Source organism: Homo sapiens, chromosome 10 (genome assembly GCF_000001405.40).
Source record: "Homo sapiens chromosome 10, GRCh38.p14 Primary Assembly".
In the NCBI taxonomy this organism is placed as follows: domain Eukaryota; kingdom Metazoa; phylum Chordata; class Mammalia; order Primates; family Hominidae; genus Homo; species Homo sapiens.
In genome coordinates, this window is record NC_000010.11 from 64,583,910 (window position 1) to 64,607,358 (window position 23,449).

The window sequence follows — 23,449 nt, forward strand, 5'->3', positions numbered from 1 at the left end:
CTCATTATTTTGAGTTATGTTCCTTCGATACCTAGTTTATTGAGAATTTTTAACATGAAGGAATGCTGGAGTTTATTGAAGGCCTTTTCTACATCTAGTGAGATAATCATGTGTTTTTTGTCTTTAGTTCTGTTTATGTGATGAATTATGTTTATTGATTTGCATAAGTTAAGCCAGCCTTTCATCCGGGAATGAAGCTGACTTGATCATGGTGGATAAGCTTTTTGATGTGCTGCCGGATTTGATTTGCCAGTATTTTATTGAGGATTTTTTACATAGATATTCATCAGAGATACTGGCCCAAAGCTTTCTTATTTTGTTGTATCTGTGCTAGGTTTTGGTATGAGGATGATGCTGGCCTCCTAAAATGAGTTAGGGAGGAGTCCCTCCTTTTTAATTGTTTGGAATAGTTTCAGAAGAAATGGTACCAGTTCCTCTTTGTACCTCTGGTAGAATTCAGCTGTAAATCCATCTGGTCCTGGGCTTTTTTTGGTTGGTAGGCTATTTATTACTGCCTCAATTTCAGAACTCGTTATTGGTTTATTCAGGGATTCAACTTCTTCCTGGTCACGCATAGGCTCAAAATAAAGGGATGGAAGAAAATTTACTAAGCAAATGGAAAGCAGAAGAAATCAGAAGTTGCAGTCCTAGTTTCTGATAATACAGACTTTAAACCAACAAAGACAAAAAAAGACAAAGAAGGGCATTACTAATGGTAAAAGATTAAATTCAACAAGAAGTGCTAACTACCCTAAATATATATGCATCCAATGGAGGAGCACCCAGATTCATATAACGAGTTCTTAGTCGCAGTTCTCTACAAAGAGACTCAGACTCCCACACAATAATAGTGGGAGACTTTAACACCCCACTGTCAGTATTAGACAGATCATCGAGACAGAAAATTAGCAAGGATATTCAGGACTTGAACTCAGCTCTGCACCAAGTGATATCTACAGAACTTTCCACCCCAAAACAATGGAATATACATTCTTCTCAGTGCCACATGGTACTTACTCTAAAATTGATCACAGAATTGGAAAGAAAACACTCCAGCAAATGCAAAATAACTGAAGTCATAACAAACAGTCTCTCAGACCACAGCACAGTGGTTTCTTAATTCAAAATTAAGAAACTCACTCAAAACCACACAACTATATGGAAATTGAACAACCTGCTCCTGATTGACACCTGGGTAAATAATGAAATTAAGGCAGAAATCTAGAAGTTCTTTGGAACTAATGAGAACAAAGAGGCAATGTACTAGAATCTCTGGCACACAACTAAACCACTGTTAGGAGGGAAATTTATAGTACTAAATGCCCACATCAAAAAGCTAGAAAGATCTCAAATTGACATCCTAACATCACAACTAAAATAACTAGAAAAAGAAGAGCAAACAAATCCCAAAGCTAGCAGAAGACAAGAAATAACCAAGATCAGTGTAGAACTGAAGGAGACAGGGACACAAACAACCCTTCAGAAAATCAACAAATCCAGGAGCTGTTTTTCTGAAAAAAAAAAAAAATTGATAAAATAGATAGCCTGCGTGCTAGACTAATAAAGAGGAAAAGAGGGAAGAATCAAATAGACAATAAAAAAGTGATAAATGGGATATCACCAGTGACCCCACAGAAATATAAACAACCATCAGAGAATACTATAAACTCCTTCATCAGTTTTTTAATGCTATCAGATAATAAATCAACAGTTAAGAAAAATTTTTTGTAGATAAGAAATACAGTATTATCCTTCCATATTTCATTTTTTATTTTACAACGTCCAAGTTGTTACTATACAGAGAATTTTTATTTTATTTTAGAGTATAGCAGATAACTCTTTAAATAATTGGTATGATTGTTCAGTCAATTTAACTTTTTTTTTAATTCTTCACTATTCATTCTAGTTTTTGCAGCACCTATAGAATCTATATCCTACTTTTTTATCAGTCAAGTAGGGGATCTTAGGCAATGATACTTTTGATAGAATAGGGATTGATTGTGAAATTATGAAAGAGGTTTGACTCTCCTGTATAAGATTACAAATCTATGAGGGAAAAGCTTAATATTTTTTTTTACCATTATTTTCTTTCACACCAGTTTCTGGCATATAATACCTACTTTATAAATATTTGTTGCATGCATACATGAATAAATGAATGAATTAAATAAGAGTTTATTATTTCACTCTTTTGCTTCAATGGACTTGTGTATTGATGTTGAGCTAGGCATGCCAGCATAACCCTCATAGTTAATTGAATGTTTCCAAAATGTTTAGGAGATGGGCATTGATTGATTTTATAGCTAAGCTATGGAGCTATGGTACAGAGGGCACTAAGAAATCTCTTGGAAAATGCCAATTGCAAAACTTGGAAGCCTGTCTTCATGGAGTTACCGATCCAGGAGTAGAATTACTGAAAAGCCAGATAGACTGATAGTGGCCAGGCAACCTGGATATAGGGGCATATTATCGTCAGGTTTGCGTCCATGAGTGTCCATAACAGAACTTTAGGCCAGACATTATGTTTACATTTTTATTATCATCATATTTTTCTATATACTGCCTTCATTTCTACATTGAGGTCCTGCTAGTTTCCAGTAGTTTGTACTAAATTATTTGTTGTGATAAATTTGGTCAATTGCTGAGCCAGTTTTAAAACCCTTATCAAGTCACTTTTTTTCCTAGTGGAGATATTCCTAATGCCTTATTAATTATATGGTGTAGCTTTTGATCCATGTTAATAATAACAGCATGAGTGATAGTGGCTTGCATTTCTGAGCGCTTACTGTATACACCAGATGCTGCTCTAAATATTTTAACATATTAGTTTTCATCTTCATAATGACTCTATAATCAGCTAGTGTTACAATTTTGATTTAAGCTATTAGGAAACTAAGGGGGAGAGAGGTTAATTGGTTTGCCGAAGTTTTCACAGTTAGTAAATATTGAAGCCAAGCATTAACCCCAGGAAGCATGGTTCAGGGTCAATGTGCTTACTCACTGTTACAACTGCGTATTTGTTATAACATAGGCTTATTGAGATTTGAAAAGAGTGAGAACTTAAGATGCAAATTATGGCTAAATAAAGAAAAGTTTATTAAAGTGATAGTGTTGAGCTAGAAAGAAGAACGTAACTGATACATTGAAGGGCTTTCTAAAATAAGAAATATGAGAAACTATATGCGTTTATTCTCAACCCATATTGAACATGTACTGTATTTCAATCACTGTCCTTGGTGCTGAAATCATATTTCTAACATTGGATAAATTTGTGTAAATGCAATAATCAAGTTTTATATATATTATATTACATATATTTTTTTTGAGACAAAGCCTAGCTTTGTCACCCAGAATGGAGTGCAGTGGCACAATCTTGGCTCACTGCCACCTCCACCTTCCAGACTCAAACTATCTTCCCAGGTCAGCTTCCTGAGTAACTGGGAATACAGACATGCACCACCATACCCAGCTAAGTTTGGTATTTTTTTTAGAGACAGAGTTTTGCCATGTTGACCATGCTGATCTCAAACTCTGGAGCTCAAGCAATTTGCCTGCCTTGGCCTCCCAAAGTGTTGGGAGTAGAGACTGAGCCACCCTGCTTGGCCTAAAATACATTTTATTGAAAAAATTATTAATCTTCCTGGACAAAATTTTTATAACAAATTTTCTTATGCATGATACGGTTTCAGTTTGAAGACGTAGAACACCTCTTCATGGTGGCCATGGATTTGTGCTACTCAAGTGTCTTCATGATAGCCTGCCATGAAGAGAACAGTTCATTAATAGTCTTTATTCATAGCACTTTTGGATCTTCCAGCATTCTCGCCAATGATTTGCATTCAGTGGGTTGCTCCAAGCCAAGGACTGTGCATGGAGTTATAAGTACCAAGCCACTCTACCAAAGGACAGACGATGCTTGGGAATTCCTTTTCAGTTTGGCCGAGACTTCCTCAGACCTGCATTTCAGTCTGAAACTTTTATACCTCATTTTTCCCTCTCTCCTTTCACAGGTTTTAAAGCTGAATCTTGGTGGGGAGGCTGCTTTTGTCTGCTCCCTCTCTCCTTTAGCTTTTTGGGGCATATCCCTCAATAAATATTAAGGATTTCTGAACCCATTGTGATGTCTGTTTCTCAAAGGCATGACTGCCATGCTATATGAATTCAGAGTCTTTTGCACCAAGAATTTCATGATCTTTTATGCATACTCTTTATGTGCCACTTAATTCAATCAGAATTCCAATAGAGTATTTGACTGTATAAGATTATTCACCAGGCAAGGCCTGAGTACAGGGGCACATTATCATCAGACATTCACGGGGACATTACTTCCTTCAACATTCTCTTTCAAGACAGGAAAGTGCCATACATAACAAAGAAGAAAGTGCCTTTAAACAAGCCTTTTTAATTTTTTACTTTCTTTTGACGCTAAGGGTTTGCCCAGAGATAGTCATAAAAAATTGCAAATATTTCAATTAAATTTATAAAAATATGATTTTCTTCCAAGCATAGCATACATTTAATCTTAATATTAAGCATTAAAATGACAAAAACCACATTACAGAAAATCAGAGTACCACTTGTCTGTCTTCATGATTACAGATTTCTGTCCTTTCACTGTTTCCTTTTTTAAAAAGACCATATTCACCCTCAGCACTTCCTATTTATGTGCCTCACCCATAGCCTAATTAAAAACTGATGGAAAAGCACACCTGCAGAGCGTCACCATCCCTCTGTGGCTCTTAACCCTCTGTTTCATCTGTTTTGTTATAGGATGCAAAACACAAAACTCCGGCAACCTACAGATGACACAAATAATCACTCTAAAATAAATTTCATGTCATTTTATTTTTTTAATTAGCAAGGATTTTTTTCAGCGAATTATTATTGCTCAACTGTGTTTAAGAAGTAGATGCAACTTGTAACGAATCACATTCTTCTAATTTCCTAGTTTTTCCCACTAACTAACAAATCATAAAAGACCTTATCAAGTCTCACTAGCTATTTTGGGCCTTCAGGACTTCTGGTTATTCTTACCAGGATTGATTTCTCTTAGAAGTATAATCTTCATAAATCCAGACAGAAGAATGTTAGCAGTCTTTGTTTTGCAGAATTGTATGGGATTTTATTGATAAATAGCATTCAAGATGCCACAGGAAGTTGAGAGAGAGAAGAAATTGAAACCTGATTCTGTGAAAAAGTCTTATGAGAAAGACTTCATAAGTTCCAAGTTTATATTAATTTCCTAAGCCTCCTCACCAGTATAACATGGGGGTCACCCACATCTGTAAGAATATGAAAGACTGGGCCACGCATGATGGATGATGGCTATAGGCATTTTGAAAGGATGAGGTGGGAAGATCACTTGAGGCCAGGAGTTTGAGATCAGCCTTGGCAACATAGTGAGACTTTGTCTCTACAAAAAATTAAAAACAAAATTAGCTGGGTGTGGTGGTGCAGGCCTGTAGTTCCAGGTACTTGGAAGGCTGAGGTGGGAGGATTGCTTAAGCCCAGAAGTTCAAGGCTGCAGTGAGCTGTGATCATGCCATTTAACTTCAGCCTGGCAGCCTGGGCCGCAGAGCGAGATCATGCCTCTGAAAGAACAAACAAACAAACAAACAGAAACATGCGGGACTAAAGACAGATAGAGGAAGAGAAAGAGGCTATTCAAACAAGGACAAAACCGCTTATATCACAATACTGGCCGATCATCTTGTTATTTTCACAGTGTTCTATTTTTGCAGATCTCAGTGTATCTAACTTTTGCATACCAGAGGGTCATAAAAAATAATAGGCAAGAAAGATACATAAAATCCTTGGCAAAATCATTAAACAACCAGCTAGAATATTAGAAGAATTAAAAACAATCTAGAGCAGGTGTTGTCATACTATGACTTGCAGACCAAATCTAACCTGCCACCTGTTTCTGTTAAAAAAATGTTATTGGAACACAGACATGCCCATTTATTTCTGTATTACTGGTACATATGTATTACTTTCACCCTAATGCAGAAGAGTTGAATAGTCGCAACAGAGATCATCTGGCCCTCAAAGCCTAAAGTATTTACTACCTGGCCCTTTAGGGGAAAAGTTTGTTGATCCCTAAAGACATATCTAAGAATGCAATTCAATCATGGCAGGAGAAAGTTTTCCTGACTAATGAGAAATGTATTCAATTAATACCCCATCACCAATGTGAATATAAACAATATCCTTGATTATGTCTGAATAACATATGTAGTGTTTGTTTCTTTAAGAAAATGTTTATGTAATGTTCATGCAATTTTCAGACTTCTAAGATAAAATAATTTAAATTATCTGGATTATAAACAGGAAACAGTACATATCACTTTTAGTTACGATAATGCAACAAACTCCAAAAAAAAAAATCTTTTGCCAAGACTTATATAATTGAGACTTTCTGTTTCATAAGCTTGGTGAACAAAGGTTCACTGATTACTGTGGCCTTTTCTCAGAGCGACATGAGCAAAGACAACTAACTTTTCATGTCTCTGCCACTTTCTCTGCTTTGATAGACTCTGTTAGTCAAGTGAACTGAAAATGATGATGTAATAATATGTTTCTGCTCTGTTAATAAAACTGAAAATTTGCACGTCTGCAGCTTTATTGATATTTCCTTTTTTGTTTGCTTTACAATTTTCATTTAAAAGAAAAACAAAACAAAATTATATATACCAAAACCCAACTTACCATTTCTCTTAGCCCTCCCTATATCCTTTAAAGTTGGTGTTTATCACTCTAATGTATTTGTAACACTATATTCTATTGCTTTTTGTGTTTTCAATTTTACATTAATAAAATCATACTGAGAACACGCTTGCCACTGGATTTTCTAATGAATATTGTTTTTAGTATTTACCTTTGTTAATATATTTAAATCTAATTCATTCATTTTATCCTGAACTGAAGTAGCCTATGCCAAGAATAGAAATTGTTTTAAGAACTTTAGAAATATTAAAACTTTTATTTTGATTAATTTAATGTTGATAAACCTCTTTATGTCCAAGCCACTGCATCTAGTCATTCTACTGAGAAAGTATTAGTTTGTTCCACTTATTTATTATTTATACAAATGGGCACAGTGAATATCTTTATACATCACTTTGTTGTACACTTTCTTTGTACATCACTTTCTTGTAAAGAAAATAAGAGTTTCTTTAGTATACTCACTTGTAGAGTGTGTGCTCTTTAAAATGACTGAGTATCACCAAATTACTCTCTCAAGTTGTTGTCCCATCAGCATGGTCGTTCTCAAAAATTTGCATTTTTCTCATTGTTAAAAGAAATAGTTTTTAGTATTGTCCAATTATTTCCTTTTATGTGAATTGTCCCTTTATAAACTTTTTCTCTGTTTTTCTGTTGTGTTGTCTCTTTTCAGCTGATGAAAGAAACTCTTCAAAAATTCTCTACATTACTGTCACTTATTTATTTATATGGACTTATGTAGAAATGTAGACATTTGACCATTTAAAAACTGCATAATAATCAATATTGTTCAACCTAAGAACCACACATATCTTCTCCAGTCTATGAATTATCTAGTAACTTTTTATGTGAGACAACTACGTTTAAGCATAGGATGATAGGTCAAGTGTTGAGTGAAGGCGCTTATGAATAAACCCTCTAATTACCAAAGCTCTATGTCAAGGGAAACCTCCTAATTGTGGTGCAGAAAGAAAAAGTTCAAACAGAGTATGGTGGCCCTGAGCTGAGAAGGCAGAGATCAGAATCTTGACAGGTAAAGCAGCTGAAATTTGCAATCACTAGAAAGCAGCTGAACAATGAGGATAGAGGGAGAGAGGATGAAGCAGAAGTCTGCATGGAGGCTCTCTACAAGGCCTTGGCTGTGGGTAGTATTATGGTTTCTCCAGAGAATATTGTGTGAAATTATCAGCTGCTCTTGGGTTGAGAGGAGAACAAAATAAATAGAAGTCAATCAATGTGGTAGCAGACATTTGAGTTCCAGCACAGCCTGAGTGGAGAGACCTTGTTAACACGTGGATATTTAATTGACATGGCAGAAGGATCACGCCTTTGACATAAGGCCCACATTATATAATAAGGCCTACTTTAGACTTCCCTAAATCTTAAAACATAGCCAAACCAAAATATATGAGATAGTAAGAACTAGGAGTTTGAATACTCACAAGTTAGAGGAGGTAAATCCATCCTAACACTACATAAATCTAAGCCCATATATGTTTAAAAAGTTCAGTCAATAGTTGCCTAGGGAAGAAAAATCAACACTATGCAGAGAAAGATAACAGAATTCAGAATCTATATATCAATTATAATATCCAAAATATAATAAAAATACCGTTTCTCCAAATAAATATGAAATTTTGACTCATAGCCAAAAAAATATAGCGAGGGAATAGAAACACACTCCAAGATGGCTCAGATGTGAGATTTAGGAGACAAATCTTAGAACAGTATAAGTGCATTCGAGGACTTCAAGAAAAATATGGTCTCAATGAGTAACTATATAAAGAACCTCAGCAGAGAAATAGAAATTAAAAATGCAACAAAATGGAAATACTAAACAAGTGATGCAAGAACTGCAGTGGAAAGTTTACAGTAGGCTTAATAGTAGCTAGATTTTTTTTTAAATGGAAAGTTAAATATAAATCAAAAGGCAGTATTCATTAAGATAACTGGATTGTATAACTCATCAGTTAATTCAATCAGAAGAGTGTAGAATAAAATTTGAAAACAAAACAAATGAAAGCAAAATAGGGCCATATTGACATATGAGCCCTATTATACCAATAATTGCATTAGATATATATGGACTAAACATTCCAATTTTAAGTCAGAAATTGTCAGGCAATTAAAAGACAAAGCACAACTATCAGAGATGTAATCAAGATGTGCTTTAAATATAGAGGTGAAAGTAAGAGGAAAAAAAGATATACCATGCAAACACTAAACAAAAGAAAGGAGATATGGCTGTATTAATATCAGCCAAGGTAGGCTTCAAGACAAGAAATGCTATCAGAGGGTATTTCACTTGCTAAAGAAACAATTTATCAAAAAGACCTAAGACGCCTAGATGTAAATGTAAAAGCTCTATAACAATATATGTAAAACAAAACATCTATGACAACTCTCCAATGAGAGAAAAAGAGACAAATTAATTATCAGGGTTGAGAATTTTAAGCCACTCTTCTCAGTATTTGGTAAAATGAGTAAGCAAAAAATCAGTAAGGATCTGATCAAAACTGTCAACCAAGCTCACTTAATTTTTCATACCACTGGATATAAAAACTACAGAATATGTATTCAAGTGCATATGGAATATTTATCAAGATAGACCATATGTTGGGCTATAGCACAAATCTTAATGTATTTCAAATGATATAAATACAGCAGAGTAGTTCTCTGAAAAGAATGGAATTACATTAAAGATAAAAAATCTAGAACATTCCCCAGTATTTGGAATTATGTAACCTACTCTTATTAAAAGTTACAGGGTAAGAAAATTAGAAAATATTTTCAGCTCAAAGTATTTTCAGCTTGACATATCTTAACACGAGTTTTTAATGAAACACAAGTTCATAAAAAACTTGTGTTAAGATATGTCAAGCTCTCTGAAAATAATAAAATTAAATTAGAAACAAAAAGACTAGACAGTTCCAACATTTGAAAATTATATAACCTACTTGTTTGATTTCAGATGAAGCATTATTGAGATTTATTTAGAGACATAATTTATACAAGTTTCTGCCCAAGGCTTATCTTTGGAGGAAACAGAATAACATCTGTTTATGCATACTCAGAAGAAAGCTCCTTGCTCAACTTTAAAGTTATTTGGTTATAAATGGTAAGATGAAATATTTCCATACACTGTACATATGTATATATATTTGTAATAATGTTTTTAAACATTGTTCAGGTAAAATAATGGTGACAGCTTTGTATTAAGGATACATTTCTAAGTCTGAGAAATAAATTTTAATCAGTATTTTTAAAATGAATATTTCCTTTTAAAATAAACAGTGCTTTTACTGAAACTGACTCTCTCTGTCTCCAAGCCAAGGCAATTTGAAACAATCTGTTTGATAAGTGTCTTCAGTAGAAGAACCCAATTTCCTGACTATGTTGGCTTTCAATGAATAAAAAAAGTCTCAAAGAAAAGATGATATATTTCTGAAATAGAATAAAAGTAACAAAGAAAAGTTGAATCAATTACTGTAGAAATTCTTAGCAAATTTTCAAAAGTAAATTCTTTATAATTAAGTTTTCGAATAGATGCAATACCCAATTTATCCTCTTCCTTTCAAGGGCATGTACTTTTTCTCAAACCTGCTATGAATGTATATAGCTGGGATGATTCATTTTGTTAACCCGAGGTAAACATAGTCACATTTTATAACTTTTCTCTCAAGATCTAACCTGCCCATACTAATAAGGAGTCCAGTCTTTCTCTTTTGTATCTATTCCAAGTCTGAAATTCCGGAATGTTCAAGAATCAAGGAACTTTACTCAATCTATCTATTTTATCAATCAATCAATCAAATTGCAATTTTGATATTAATGATATTGATAAGTACTATAATTTTTTCAAAAGGGAGGGTAATACTTATCCTAGTGAGTATAGGTTGTAACTAGGTATTTTATATTGTAAAATACAGTTTAACCAGTGTGCTGATGAATATACACTTCTAATAAACCGAATGCATTTGGTGAATTTGTCTTCCTGAAAATTTCCCAGAGCAGAGAGCATTTAATTTCATTTATTTGTTCATTCAGTCATTTTTTTCAGTTTAGTCATGCACCCATGCCAAATAACAGGGATTACATGTCTACTGATGACTGAGAACTCAGTTTTACATGACACTTGAAAATTAAAATGATCCTAAAATATATAACATAAAAATCTATCAACTTAACAAGATGTGTAAGAGTTCCAGTTATTAGTATGAGTAATATATTGGAAATATAAAGTTATCTATACTAACAATGCATTTTTTCTTCTTTCTTTTTACTTATCTATTTCTTTCTATTTTATAGACCTTGATCTCTAATTTAATGAACATGTAACAAAAAGCATCTCACTTATGGCAGATCAAGATTTTTTAAAGTTTTATAAATTCATTTGTTGTGATGGTTAATTTTATGTGTTAATTTGATGTGCCATGGGGTGCCCAGATTAAGCACTATTTATTTATTTATTTTCTGAGACAGAGTCTTGCTGTGTTGCCCAGGTTGGAGTGCAGTGGCGCCATCTCGGCTCACTGCAACCTCCACCTCCCTGGTTCAAGCCATTCTCCTGCCTCAGCCTCTGGAGTAGATGGAATGACAGGCACCTGCCACCACATCTGACTAATATTTGTATTTTTAGTAGAGATGGGGTTTCACCATTGTCGGCCGGGCTGGTCCCAAACTCTTAAGCATTATTTCTGGATATCTTTGTGAGAGTGTTTCTGAGTGAGATTAGCATTTGAATCAGTTAGCTGAACAAAGTAGATTGTCCTTCCCAAGGTAGGTGGACATCACCCAATCTGTTAAAGACCTGAATAGAAAAAAAAGAAGAGAGAAATTTACTTTTTTACTTCTGGCCTATCTGCTTGAGCTGGGACATTGGTCTTTTTTTGCCCTTAGAATGTAATTTGCACCATTGGTTCTTCTAAGAGCTAATGCATGCTCAAGAGTATGTTCTCAGGCCATTAGACTCAGACTGAAATTATACCACCAGCTCTCTTGGGTCTTCAGCTTATGGAGGGCAGTTCACAGAACTTCTCAGCCTCCATAGTCATGTAAGCCAATGCCTTATAATAAATCTCTCTCTCTGTCTGTACATATATCTATTCATATATAGTATATAATTTTACATAGTTCTTAATATGTATTCTGTATCCTATTTGTTCTATTTTTCTGGAGAATTCTGACTAATCCACTAAGCATATATTATTAAAAGAAATACTTTCTGGAATAACCAATGTCCAAAACAGCTAAGTGGAAATTCCCTAGTTAATGCAACTTGCAACTCAGTTGACATTTGGTAAAACTAAGAAGTAGTGAAAATGTTGTCTTCTATCACTATCAGTAATGTGCAGTCCATAAGAATGATACTTAGCTCTAGGGCTTTAGAACTGACAGTCATTTCTTTGATAATAGAAGTTTTAAAATGTACCAGTTCTACAAAGGTAAGTTTATTTAGATGAATTTTTTTTTTTTTACTGTAGATATTGGGACTTAATGAGACATGAATTATAAAATTGAAAACAGTTTAAAATCTCTACTTACAATTCATTCAGCCTATTGAAATTACAGTATTCCTGCTGGGATAGTTATTAAGGTATTGTTTTTCAGCTCTGAACTCACCTTCCATTTGCTTTATGATTCTGCTCCTGGGATTCTGAAAACTATATTCTTCCTTTGCTGTTAAAGTATTCCAATAGGGTACAATGGAGAGAAAATAAGAAGCAGGAGGTACGAAAAAAAAGTGCTGCTTCCATTTTTTTTTTTTTCTTATTAGAGTCATCTCAGTAAAGGACCTTCCTATAAACAACAGCAATTTGTTCTAGTGTTTATTTTTTCCCTCTGCTACTTCCAGATTCAGCCTTTGGAGGGTACCAGCAGCAGTCAGGCGGCGACCTCTTCAGAACCTGAGGCTCAGGTCCAGGCCCTCACCTTCACACTTCTAGCTTCTGATAACACCCGATTCCTCCTTTATTGCCCCAGCCTTAGGAGATGGAGCTGCTTTGTGCAATTCCTATTTATGACTAAAACTTTGTACGCATAGATTTCACAGGTAAAAGAGATTGTGATAACAATACTTGTTATCATTTATCTTTTTGATAATAGCCATCTGAATAGGTGTGATATCTTGTTATGGTTTTGAATTGCATTTCCCTGATAATAGTTATGATAAGCACTTACTGGCCATTTTTATATCTTGGCAAAAATGTTTATTTAGGTCCTTTGCCCACTTTAAAATTGGGTTATTTTATTTTATTTTTATTTTTACTCTTCAGTTGTTTGAGTTCTTTGTATATTTTGGATATTAACCAACATATGCTGGTTTACAAATATTTTCTTCCATTCCATGGGTTGTTTCTTCATTGTGTTGATTGTTTTCTTTGTTGTGCAGAGGATGATTTTTGGTTTGACACTATCCAATTTCTGTAGTTTTGCTTTTGTTGCCTGTGCTTTTGGGGTCATATCCAAAAATTATTTCCCAGAACAATGTCAAGGAGTTTTTCTCTTACTGTCTTCTTCTATTCATTTTATAGTTTCAAGTCTTATGTTTAAGTCTATAATCCGTTTTGAGTTGACTTTAGCATATTGAGTGAAATAAGGGTCCAACTGCAGTCATTTGCATGTGGATATTCAGTTTTCTCAAAATCATTTATTAAAGAGAATATCCTTTCCCCATTGTGTATTCTTGGAACTCATGTCAAACATAAGATGACTGTGAATGTCTGAATTTGTTTTTGGGCTTTCTATTCTGTTTCATTAATCTATTTGTTAATTTTAAGCCAGTACCTTACTCTTTTGATTACTGTAGCCTTGTAATATATATTGTGAAATCAGAAAATTTGGTGCCTCCAGCTTTGTCCTGCTTGCTCAATATTATTTTAGATGTTCATGTCCTTTTGCGGTTCCATATAAATTTTAGGGTCTTTGTTTTTTATTCCTCTGAAAAATACAATTTGGATTTTTTATAGGGATTTCATTGAATCTTTAAATTGCTTTGTGTAGTGTGGACAGTTTAGCAATATTAGGTATTCTAATCCATAAACACAGGACATCTTTCCACTTGTGTCTTTTCAATTTCTTTCACCAGTGTTTTATAGTTTTCAGTGTACAGATTTTTTTTCTTCTTGGTTAAATTTATTCCTAATTATTTTATTTTTATGCTATACCACAAGGGATTGTTTTATTGATTTATTTTTCAGACAGTTTGCTGTTAGTGTAACTAAATACTGTAAATTAGGTTCACTATGCAATAATTACCAAGTTGTCTGAGTCTGGTAAGGCAGAACGTCCACAGGCAACAAGTTACATGAAGATTTGACTTAGTTTGGATGTCTGGGGCAGCCAGGAGAAGAGCAGCTTCCTGCAGCCGTCCCTGCTATGCAAGGCTTGAAGACGGTGCAAAATTCATGCACCTTCTATAATAAGGTCATTTCAATGTAACCCCTTTATAGTGGCGATTTATATCAAATATAAATTAAAATTTTAGAATTAAAATATATGACTTTAAGATTTTTTTTTTTCCTTTTGAGACAGCATCTCACTCCCTGGCCCAGGCTGGAGTGCAGTGGCATGATCTCCGCTCACTACAACTGCTACTTCCCGGGTTCAAATGATTCTCCTGCCTCAGGCTCTCAAGTAGCTGGACTACAGGCGGGCGCCACCATGCCCCGCTAGTTTTTGTATTTTTAGTAGAGACGGGGTTTCGCCATGTTGGCCAGGCTGGTCTCTAACTCCTGGCCTTAAGTGATCCACCCGCCCCGGCCTCCCAAAGTGCTGGGATTACAGGAGTGAGCTACCGCACCCGGCCGACTTTAAGATTTTAAAGACTCTAGGAAGACATTTTATCCTTAATTTTCTCTGTACATAACTACACTGATCAGGGAATCACGAATATCAAGTACTTCTATTAAAATTTTGCAAATAGCTTTAAGAGTTCTGATTATAAAGGAAAATCAAAATCATATTATGAACCGTGTTTTACCTAAGGGGTCAGCATTCAAAACAAATATTAGAATTTCTACTGGGCTAAGGGTTTTAATTTATCCTATTGCTATCTTGTTATAAACTTATTTGAAAAACAGATCAACACAGACATTTAAAGAGAAATCTATTTTCTAGAGAATATTTCCATTCACTCTGAAATAGCAGCTTAGCATTTATAGCTGACAGTGCTATTTATCAGTGTACTGTGGTGTTTAGTAAAAATGATAGGTATGCAGAATGCTTTTCTATCTCATAAGAGGCAATTGTGATGTATCTATATGTAGGTTATTCAGTCTTACTACCATGTATTCTTTCTGAGAATACAATGAAATGAAAGAATCTGTAATTTTTAAGTGGTGTAATAAGGCTAAAGGTTACTGGATTAATAGAAAATTGTTCATTGCCATCTCCTTGCAAAGAACTTCCTGACCAGATTGGTCAGTCTGTTAAATCCTTTCATAGCTTGTTTAATTTCTTTTTGCGCAGTATTAAATACAGGCTTTATTAATTATTTATTGTTTCTTCCATCTTACCAGGATACAAGCTTTATGAAGTCAGGGACTTTGTTTTGTTCATCATTGTGTCCTGGCACAGTGCCTAACACATTTTAAATACTGAAAACCAATTTTTTTAATTTTCATAGATTGAGGGGTACAAGTGCAGTTGTGTTACATAGATACATTGCATAGTGATGTAGTCTAGGCTTTTATTGTATCTATTACCCAAATAGAGTACCTTGTACCCAATAGGTAGTATTTCAACCCTCCCTCCCTCCCGCACCCCCCCTTTTGGAGTCCCCAATGTCTATTATTTCAATCTGTATATCTGTATGTACCTATTATTTAGCTCCCACTTATAAGTGGAAGTATGTGGCTTCAAAAACAGTTCTATTTTTAGATTAATGAATAAAATTTATGTTTCCATTTTATCTCCAGGACTGGCTTATTAGTTATACTTTCTTGGGTTTACATTATACATCGTTAACTTATCTCGGTTTAACTTTAAATATTACATTAGTTGACTTTAGTTGACTTACTGTATAAGGAGAAAATTCCATCTTCTCTATTATATTCTTTACATTATTATTGTCATATATTTTAGTTTTATATGTTAAAAGACTCATAACACATTATATTTGCTTTAAACAGTTAATTATATTTTAGATTAGTATAGATAAGAAAAATATATTTTATATTACCGTCATTTTTATTATTTCTGGTGCTTTTTATTTCTTTGTGTTATCCAAAGTTCTATCCAGTATCATATTTCTTCTGTCTGAAAAATTTCTTCTACCATTTATTGTACTTCAGATCTGTAGGCAATAATTTTTCTCTGTTTTTCTTTGTCTTTCATTTTTCAAATATACTTTGCTAGTTATAGAATTCTGGTTGAAAGCTTTTTTTCTTCCAATACTTTAAAAATATTGATACTTTTTATTGTGGCTTGAATATTTTCTGAAAAGAAATCTTACGTAATTTTTGTCTTTCTTGGTTTCTCTGTATATATCTTTTTTCTGTAGCTGCCTTAGGGAGTCCTCCTTTTCTTTTATTCTTAGCAGTTTTGTTACGCTATATCTAGGTTTTTGTTTTTCCTTTTACTATTTATTCTGTTTGGGGTTTCTTGAGCTTCTTTCATCTGTGGTTCTTGGTCCTTTTTAAATTTTGATGGATTCTCAACCATCACCTCTTCAAATATGTCATTGTTGCCGTTCTTTCATCTCTTCTGGGACTCCAGTGAAACATACCTTAAATTGTTTGATATTGTCCCTCAGCTCTTGAATGTTGTTATACTTCTTTTCTTTACTTTTTCTCTTTGTGTTTCAGTTTAAGGAATTTCAATGGACTTATCTTCAAGTTCACCAATTCTTTTCTCAGCTGAGTCTACTCTGCTAATATAACCATTGAGGTCATTCTTCATTGCTGATATGGTATAGATATTTTCAACTTAGCATGGACTGAGATCACTCAATCACCTGTATTTACATGGCTGCTGTACTGAAAAGTCTAATAAAGCTTTACTGATACATTTTGCAGCTTATTTCATTTCCATTTGGCTTTGCTTTTTATCTGATCTCTCCTAATTCAGTAATAAAGCACAATTTTCTTTACAGCCTGATGATTGGGATCCCCATAGAGAAAGTAGAACCTACCAGGTCTATTACAGGATAGGCCTGGAAGTGGCAGTGCATCACTTCTGCTATAGTTTACTAATAAAGTCAAGTGACGAGGCCAGCCTAGAAAGTAAAGGTGACTCTTGCAACAAAAATAAAATTGGCTTACTCCTCTGGTGAGAAGGTCTTTGGAAGAATGTCCATCATTACTCCTGAATTTGCTTCCAGCAACATTCTGGAGTCATTGTATTTGAAGAAGTGGTCAACAGAGTAATCAATGAGCTTCAACTGTGGTAGAAAAATAGACACTGTCATATTCTGTAATTTTGTTTAGAATATAATTAGACCGACCCATTTAGCAGTCTGAGACTTCTCAGCAGCCTATTTGTAAGTAATTTATAACTTGCCTACCAACTCACTCAATTTTTATTAGGACTAATTTAAAGCCCTTATGGTGTTCTATAGGCTTTTAAGTCTATTTCAGAGCTTGAAAGTTTAATGCTTTAATTTGATACATTATCACCTTAAATTCTATATGTACAATGCACATTTTGATACTCACAACATATCTAAAAGTATGAGGAGAAACAATACTCTAAAAGTTGACTCATGTAAGGAGTCTGTGCCTATCTACATTCGTGTCAAACTCTGATCATAATCAAAATTTATATTGTTTTGCTTTTTTTTTCCCGACTGTGTTCAAAACAGATGTTCACCATTTGCTCTCAGATGGATGGAGACCACTGTGATAATGTTGCTAGGTAATGTTGCAGATGTTTCAAGAGGAATCCTTAAAACTAGATATTCACTTATGATGATAGAACATGCAATTTTACATGTGATGGTATTAGAAAATTAAACTGTATGTGGATCTATAAACAAGATTTTTAATGCAAAAAAACGAAGTGTTATTTCTCTCATGCAACAATTATTTCCTAAATCTATTTAGCATCTTTTAGTGATTGCTTAGGCTATGACTCAATAAATCTCCAGATTATATTGATAATAATCTTAAAGTTATTTTGTTTTATTTCATTTTATTTGTTTTCATAAGGCTTGCATTACCTAAATGTCATCAAATTAGTTCAAATTGCACCTTCAATGAAAAAGATAACTGGGTACATTGGTGTGCTAGCTGGTAGGTTCTCACATTTTAAAAGGACATAAAGTTATGCCTGTCTAAAAGCTGAGTACATGACCCATCAGATATTCCCTTTGATTATTATATTTTTTACCTTTTGTTAAGAGCTTGTTTTGATATTCAACAATGTCTTGCACATAATGTGCTCAGTACATGTCAATGAAGTGATTGTTTAAGAAAGAAAATACTATATTTTGTTACAGTTACATATTTTGAAATAAAGTGTTAATATCTCTGGCAACAGGATTACATAAATCCATTGGATAGTAACCATCTCATGTAAGAGATTTTTTTTCCTTAGATTAACTATCAATGCAACCTTATGATCATTGTTAGAATTCTTGAATTTTTTTCATAGCTGTGTAACCAAACACCTCTTTTCCTGACTATCACTTGGCACAGGTTAGAAAGGTGAGGGAGGGGAAGAACGATGAGGGAAAGAATGTTAGAAATTATTAAGAAATTATCTTCTAAGATAATTCTAAGATTCTACAATTCTAAAAACTTTAAAACAAAATGACTATTAACTGGTGCCACAGATGAGACTTACCAGTATCAGCTTATTATATTTTATTTTGGTTTCCATTATAACGTAATATATTATATTTTAATATATTTTAAGTAAAATAATACTATTTTATATTATAATAATAATAAACCATATAAATTTGTGCTTTTACTGTTATAATACTGAATTTTTTGAAGGTTTGACATTGGATTTAAATTCAAGAATAATGTATATACCACTGTATATTACTTTTTAAATTGAAGCATAATTGTAATTGACATGGGAAAGAGATGATGCTTTCACTTTCTAGCTAACATCAAGTTGATTGCATGTGGATATTTTCCAAAACAGCATTTCTCACCCTAAAATTTCAGGAGTTGGGAAAGTGAGGCTTATCGTATTTCATGTAGAAATGCTGAAAAAAGAAAACTGGTTGATCTATGAAAAAATCTTTGTCATCAGATTGTTTTGTTGAAATGCCATTTCAGAGTTTAGATTTTTGATCCTTTCTCCTGTCTTTAGCCACATATATATGCAAATGAAAGGAACATAAAACCATTTATCTTACTGTTTTCCAATATCAAAATGCAAACTGTTACTTTGAGTCCATCCACGTTTCTTTTTCAGCTGCCTTAATCTTTCATGAAATTTAAATGGAAAAGCTTCATCTTGAACAATATAGTGTGAGTTTGCATTATTCAAAATTAATTTATATTTCAAAAATTTCTATACATAAACTAGTGCTTGAATTTGTTATCGAAAGTTTCATTTTCAAAATTAAATAGTGGACTTAATGTAAACAATCTAATAAAGGCTGGAAACAAATTTACCTGCAGAGGTGTGCAGTTAAAAGGACTTCTGTCATTCTATTTCTGAAAATAACTGTTTGCTGTGTAGGTCAGGTGGCATTGAATTTATAAACTGCATTGAAGAAAATGCAGAGGATAGGCCAAGACATTGCTATGGATAAAAATCAGCCACCCTAACCAGGGACGACAAAGGGTTTTACCATAACAGTAACAAATCAGTGTATCTCTGCTTCTGACTTGGCAGTCCCCATAATTGCCCTCTCAAGGCATATCTCCAGTATGATCTGCAAGCTGGTCCTGTGGGAATCAATATGGTATCCACAATTTGTCTACTGTCTTGACCTGGTAAGCTACCTATATCCACAGCTATACGGTCCAAAAATCGCTGCCAGTGCTGGTTGCTGGAGGCCACTGACTTCTGGCTTATGGTTACTGATGCCTGTTGCTGGGTGTGCTAATGTACAGGCCAAGGATGCTGTACTTCGTGCCCTGAACTGCTTAAAACAACAATACCGTCCAATGTTGAGAGATTTTTGTGTCTCATTGCTGAAGCCACTGGCACTTAATACTGCTGTCACCTTGACTTTTCAAATTTCCAATTTATTAGTTCAGACATAGTTTTTGAGTCATAACTCTGTTGCCTGAGGATTCAGGCATGAGTCCACGAAGCTTGTATCAGAGGATAGACTAAATGAATGGCACTGCTAGTGTTCAACATCTCCCCTCCCTTTGGACACAAGCCAGTTTTATTTTGCACCAACTTTCACCTTTTGACTCTCTTTTCTCATGGGGTGAGATTTTTTTATAGTGGTCTCCATCATAACTTATGAAAACTGAACATTGAAAAACGCAATCTCGGGTCACCTGAAAATAGTACGACCTATCTGAGCTGTAGTGAGAAAATTAGGCACTAGTTTTAATTAACATCATACTAACAGAGATTAAATAAATACAATATTTTCAATACAGTTTTACTTTTTTCCCTATTTTATATTGGGGAGAATATTGGGTGAAGAAGAGGAAGACAGTATTTTACTGTACCAATTGTATTAATCTTCTCTTGGCCCCCAATTATTTTATACTGTAAAAAAGGAGAAGACTTTCTCTGGAGATGTGAATAGAGTCTTAGGAGAAGACTTTCTCTGGAGATGTGAATAGACATTGTTGCTGATGCACATCTATTCTGACCTACTTGTAGTAGTTTATATACTAGTAGTATATTTGCTAAGAAATGAAAAAAGGCATGTATATTAGCCAGAATTCTCCAGAGAAACAGAACCAATGGATAATAAATCTCTCTATATAAATAGATACGTATGTATATATGTGTATATGTATGTATATGTGTACACATATATGTACACATATGTACACATATATATACACACATATTATATTTACTTATTATAAGGAATTGGCTCCCATGATTATGGAAGCTGAGAAGTTCCAAGAAAGGTAGTGGCAAGCTGAAGACCTAGGAGAGTGAGTGGTATAGCTCTAGTTCAAGGCCAAAGGTCTGAGACCAAGGAGAGTCAATGGTCTAAATTCTAGTCTAAGTTTATGAGAAGACCCATGTTCCAGTTCAACAGCCAGGCAGGTGAATGAAGTTCCATCTTATTCAGCCTTTTTATTCTATTCAGATCCTCAACTGATTAGGTGAAATCCCACATTAGGGAGGGCCATTTGCTTTACTCAAGTCTATCAATTCAAATGTTAATCTCATCTAGAAATATCCTCAAAGACATACTCCGAATCCTGTTTGACCAAGTATCGGGGCACCCTATGCCCAGTCAAATTGACACGAAAAATTAACCCCCACAACCAGGATCTGTGTCAGTTTGTATAAGCATTGGTGACAATCTGCTAAACACAGAACTGCCTGAGATTTTTTTTTCCACAAGAGTGAATATAGAATTCACTTTTTATAAGAGGCTACTCTTTTGTTTGAGAAAGAAAACAACTCCATTGGACCTCTTAGTTAGATGAAAGTAATGCCTTGATCTTACTCTGAAATAGAGAACAGTTTAAAAATTTTCCTCCTTATGGGTAGGGTGGCACTTCTAGCAAGATGCTAACTAGGGGAAGAATTCTTTCTTCCTTTATGCAAAGCAATAATTTGGATGGATGGGCTTTGAAAATATTATGCTAAGTGAAAGAAGCCAGAAACAAATGGAATGATTCCATTTATATGAATTATCCAGAATAGGCAAATCCATAGATGAGAAAATCCATTAATTGTTGTTAGGGGCTCTGGGAAATATGGATTCTTTCTGATGTGATAAAAATGTGATAGAACTAGATATTGGTAATTGTTACAAAAAGTCACTGGATTTTACACTTTAAGATGGATAAAATGATAAAATTTACATTATGTTCATTTTGCTACAATAAAGGCCAACAAACAAAATTTTAAAACCAATGAGTTAAGAGTCTAGAACCCTGGGCTGTTAGTGTCAAAAGGATTTATTCCTCATAATGGGAAGTAAACCAGCATCTAAATGATGGTGGGGAGAAGTTGGTGCTTAGGCAAGAGAAATCAAGCAGGTGACCCCATATGAAGGGATTTGGCAAGTTGGCTCCATCAGAAGTGATATCAAGGACTTCAGATTTCTATGCATAACAAACTTCTCCAAAACTCAGCATGTTAAAACAATAAGTTATCATTTCTTATGATTCTGTATGTTAATTGGGTTGTTCTTCTGCTCCAGGAGGTATGGCTGGGATCACTTATCCAGTTGTCCTCTTCTGGGGGATGGGTGGAACTAAAAGTTCAGGGAGGGCTCATTCACACTCTGAAGGTTTGGTGCTTCCTGCTAGCCAGGGCTCCTCAACTTTCCTTCATGTGCCCTCTCTCTCCTTATGACTCATCTTCCAGGGCTTCTCTAAGGGATGTCACTTTGTAGTAGAATAACCTGATTTTATGATGACATGGTGACTGAGTTCTAAAAAAGTAGAAGTTAAAAGTCACTTGAAAATTAGGCCCCAAACAGATACAATATCATTTCCATAAAATTTTATTGATCAAAGCGCTTCGTTTGGTCAGTTCATATTCAAAGGGTGGGGAATTTAACTCTGTATATTCATTGCAGGAACAGAGTGCTCCTATAAACAGAGAAAGTTTCATGGCCATTTTTGAATAATATCTACCATGAACATCTACCTTTATATTTTCCTTCTTAGCTTTTTAATTTTATCTCCAATCCTTAGGTACAGTAATTTAACATTATGAAGGTTTTTTTGTTGCCTGTGTTCCAATGAATTAAGAAATTTGTCAATGTCCATTCTGCATGGAAGGAGAAAAAGGAAAATGGCCGGGTTATGTCACAGTGACTAAGGGAGGTCCTTCAAGAAATGGAAAGGCTGTCTGGGGTAAAATGGCTGGGGAAGGTAGTAAGTGAGAAACAAAATAGTTTTGTGGAGCAAGCAAGTATTTTGTAGGGATTCTCAGAAACAAGAAGGGGAGCATATTGAAAGACTTCCCTCAGTAATTCATAATTGAAGCTCATACTAAATTTGGGGTTCTCAAATAAGAAAAATGACTCCATAAGACTGGACAATGTAGAATCATATATGTTACATATGGACATCAAATAAAGCATCTACATCCATTTTATCTGGATATTGGAAAAGAGGTACACAGCAACCAAAAGGGCAGATGTCTCCAATGGAGTCATGAAGTCCATGAAGTATCAAACATATAGCTCTAATATCATATTCACAAGGTAACTGCCCTTGTAAAACATTAAGAGTGATTTCTTAAATATAAAACAGTGTGATAATTTAAGAAGGAATTATGATCAAGAACAGATGTTCGGTTAAATATTTGAGTCAATAATATTATTGTCCTTCGTTGCATGTCCATCAGCACAAAAATATTTTAATTACTTTCAATTATAGGCTTCTAGATATATTACTTATAAAAGCATTTTAAAATTTGCCTTGGTCTACTTTCACCATTGCTATTGAAAAACAGAGTGGCATATTTCAGAGCTAAGATAAATTAATACAATGAAATATTATTTTAGGGATATCTGAACCCAATATGCAAATGGGATTCTAGAGAAATGGCAAATAAATAATTTGACTTCCTATGTTATCATTTAAGTGCCATTAATTTCTAAAAGGCAGAATAATTTGGTGTTAAAAGTAATATGGTCATCATCTGTATATAATAA

The 23,449-nt window shown here is 34.1% G+C and overlaps 2 long non-coding RNA genes across 5 annotated transcripts in view; one reads left to right on the forward strand and one right to left on the reverse strand.

Moving 5' to 3' along the window:
* The window catches only part of LOC124902439 (uncharacterized), an 820,351-nt gene that overhangs the window by 711,321 nt on the left and 85,581 nt on the right, over positions 1-23,449 (forward strand). The window lies entirely within an intron of this gene.
* The window catches only part of LOC105378335 (uncharacterized), a 37,450-nt gene continuing 19,501 nt past the window's right edge, over positions 5,501-23,449 (reverse strand). Inside the window, exon 3 of the long non-coding RNA XR_946019.3 lies at positions 5,501-5,591. This is a non-coding gene — a long non-coding RNA (uncharacterized LOC105378335). The remainder of the gene's footprint in view (positions 5,592-23,449) is intronic.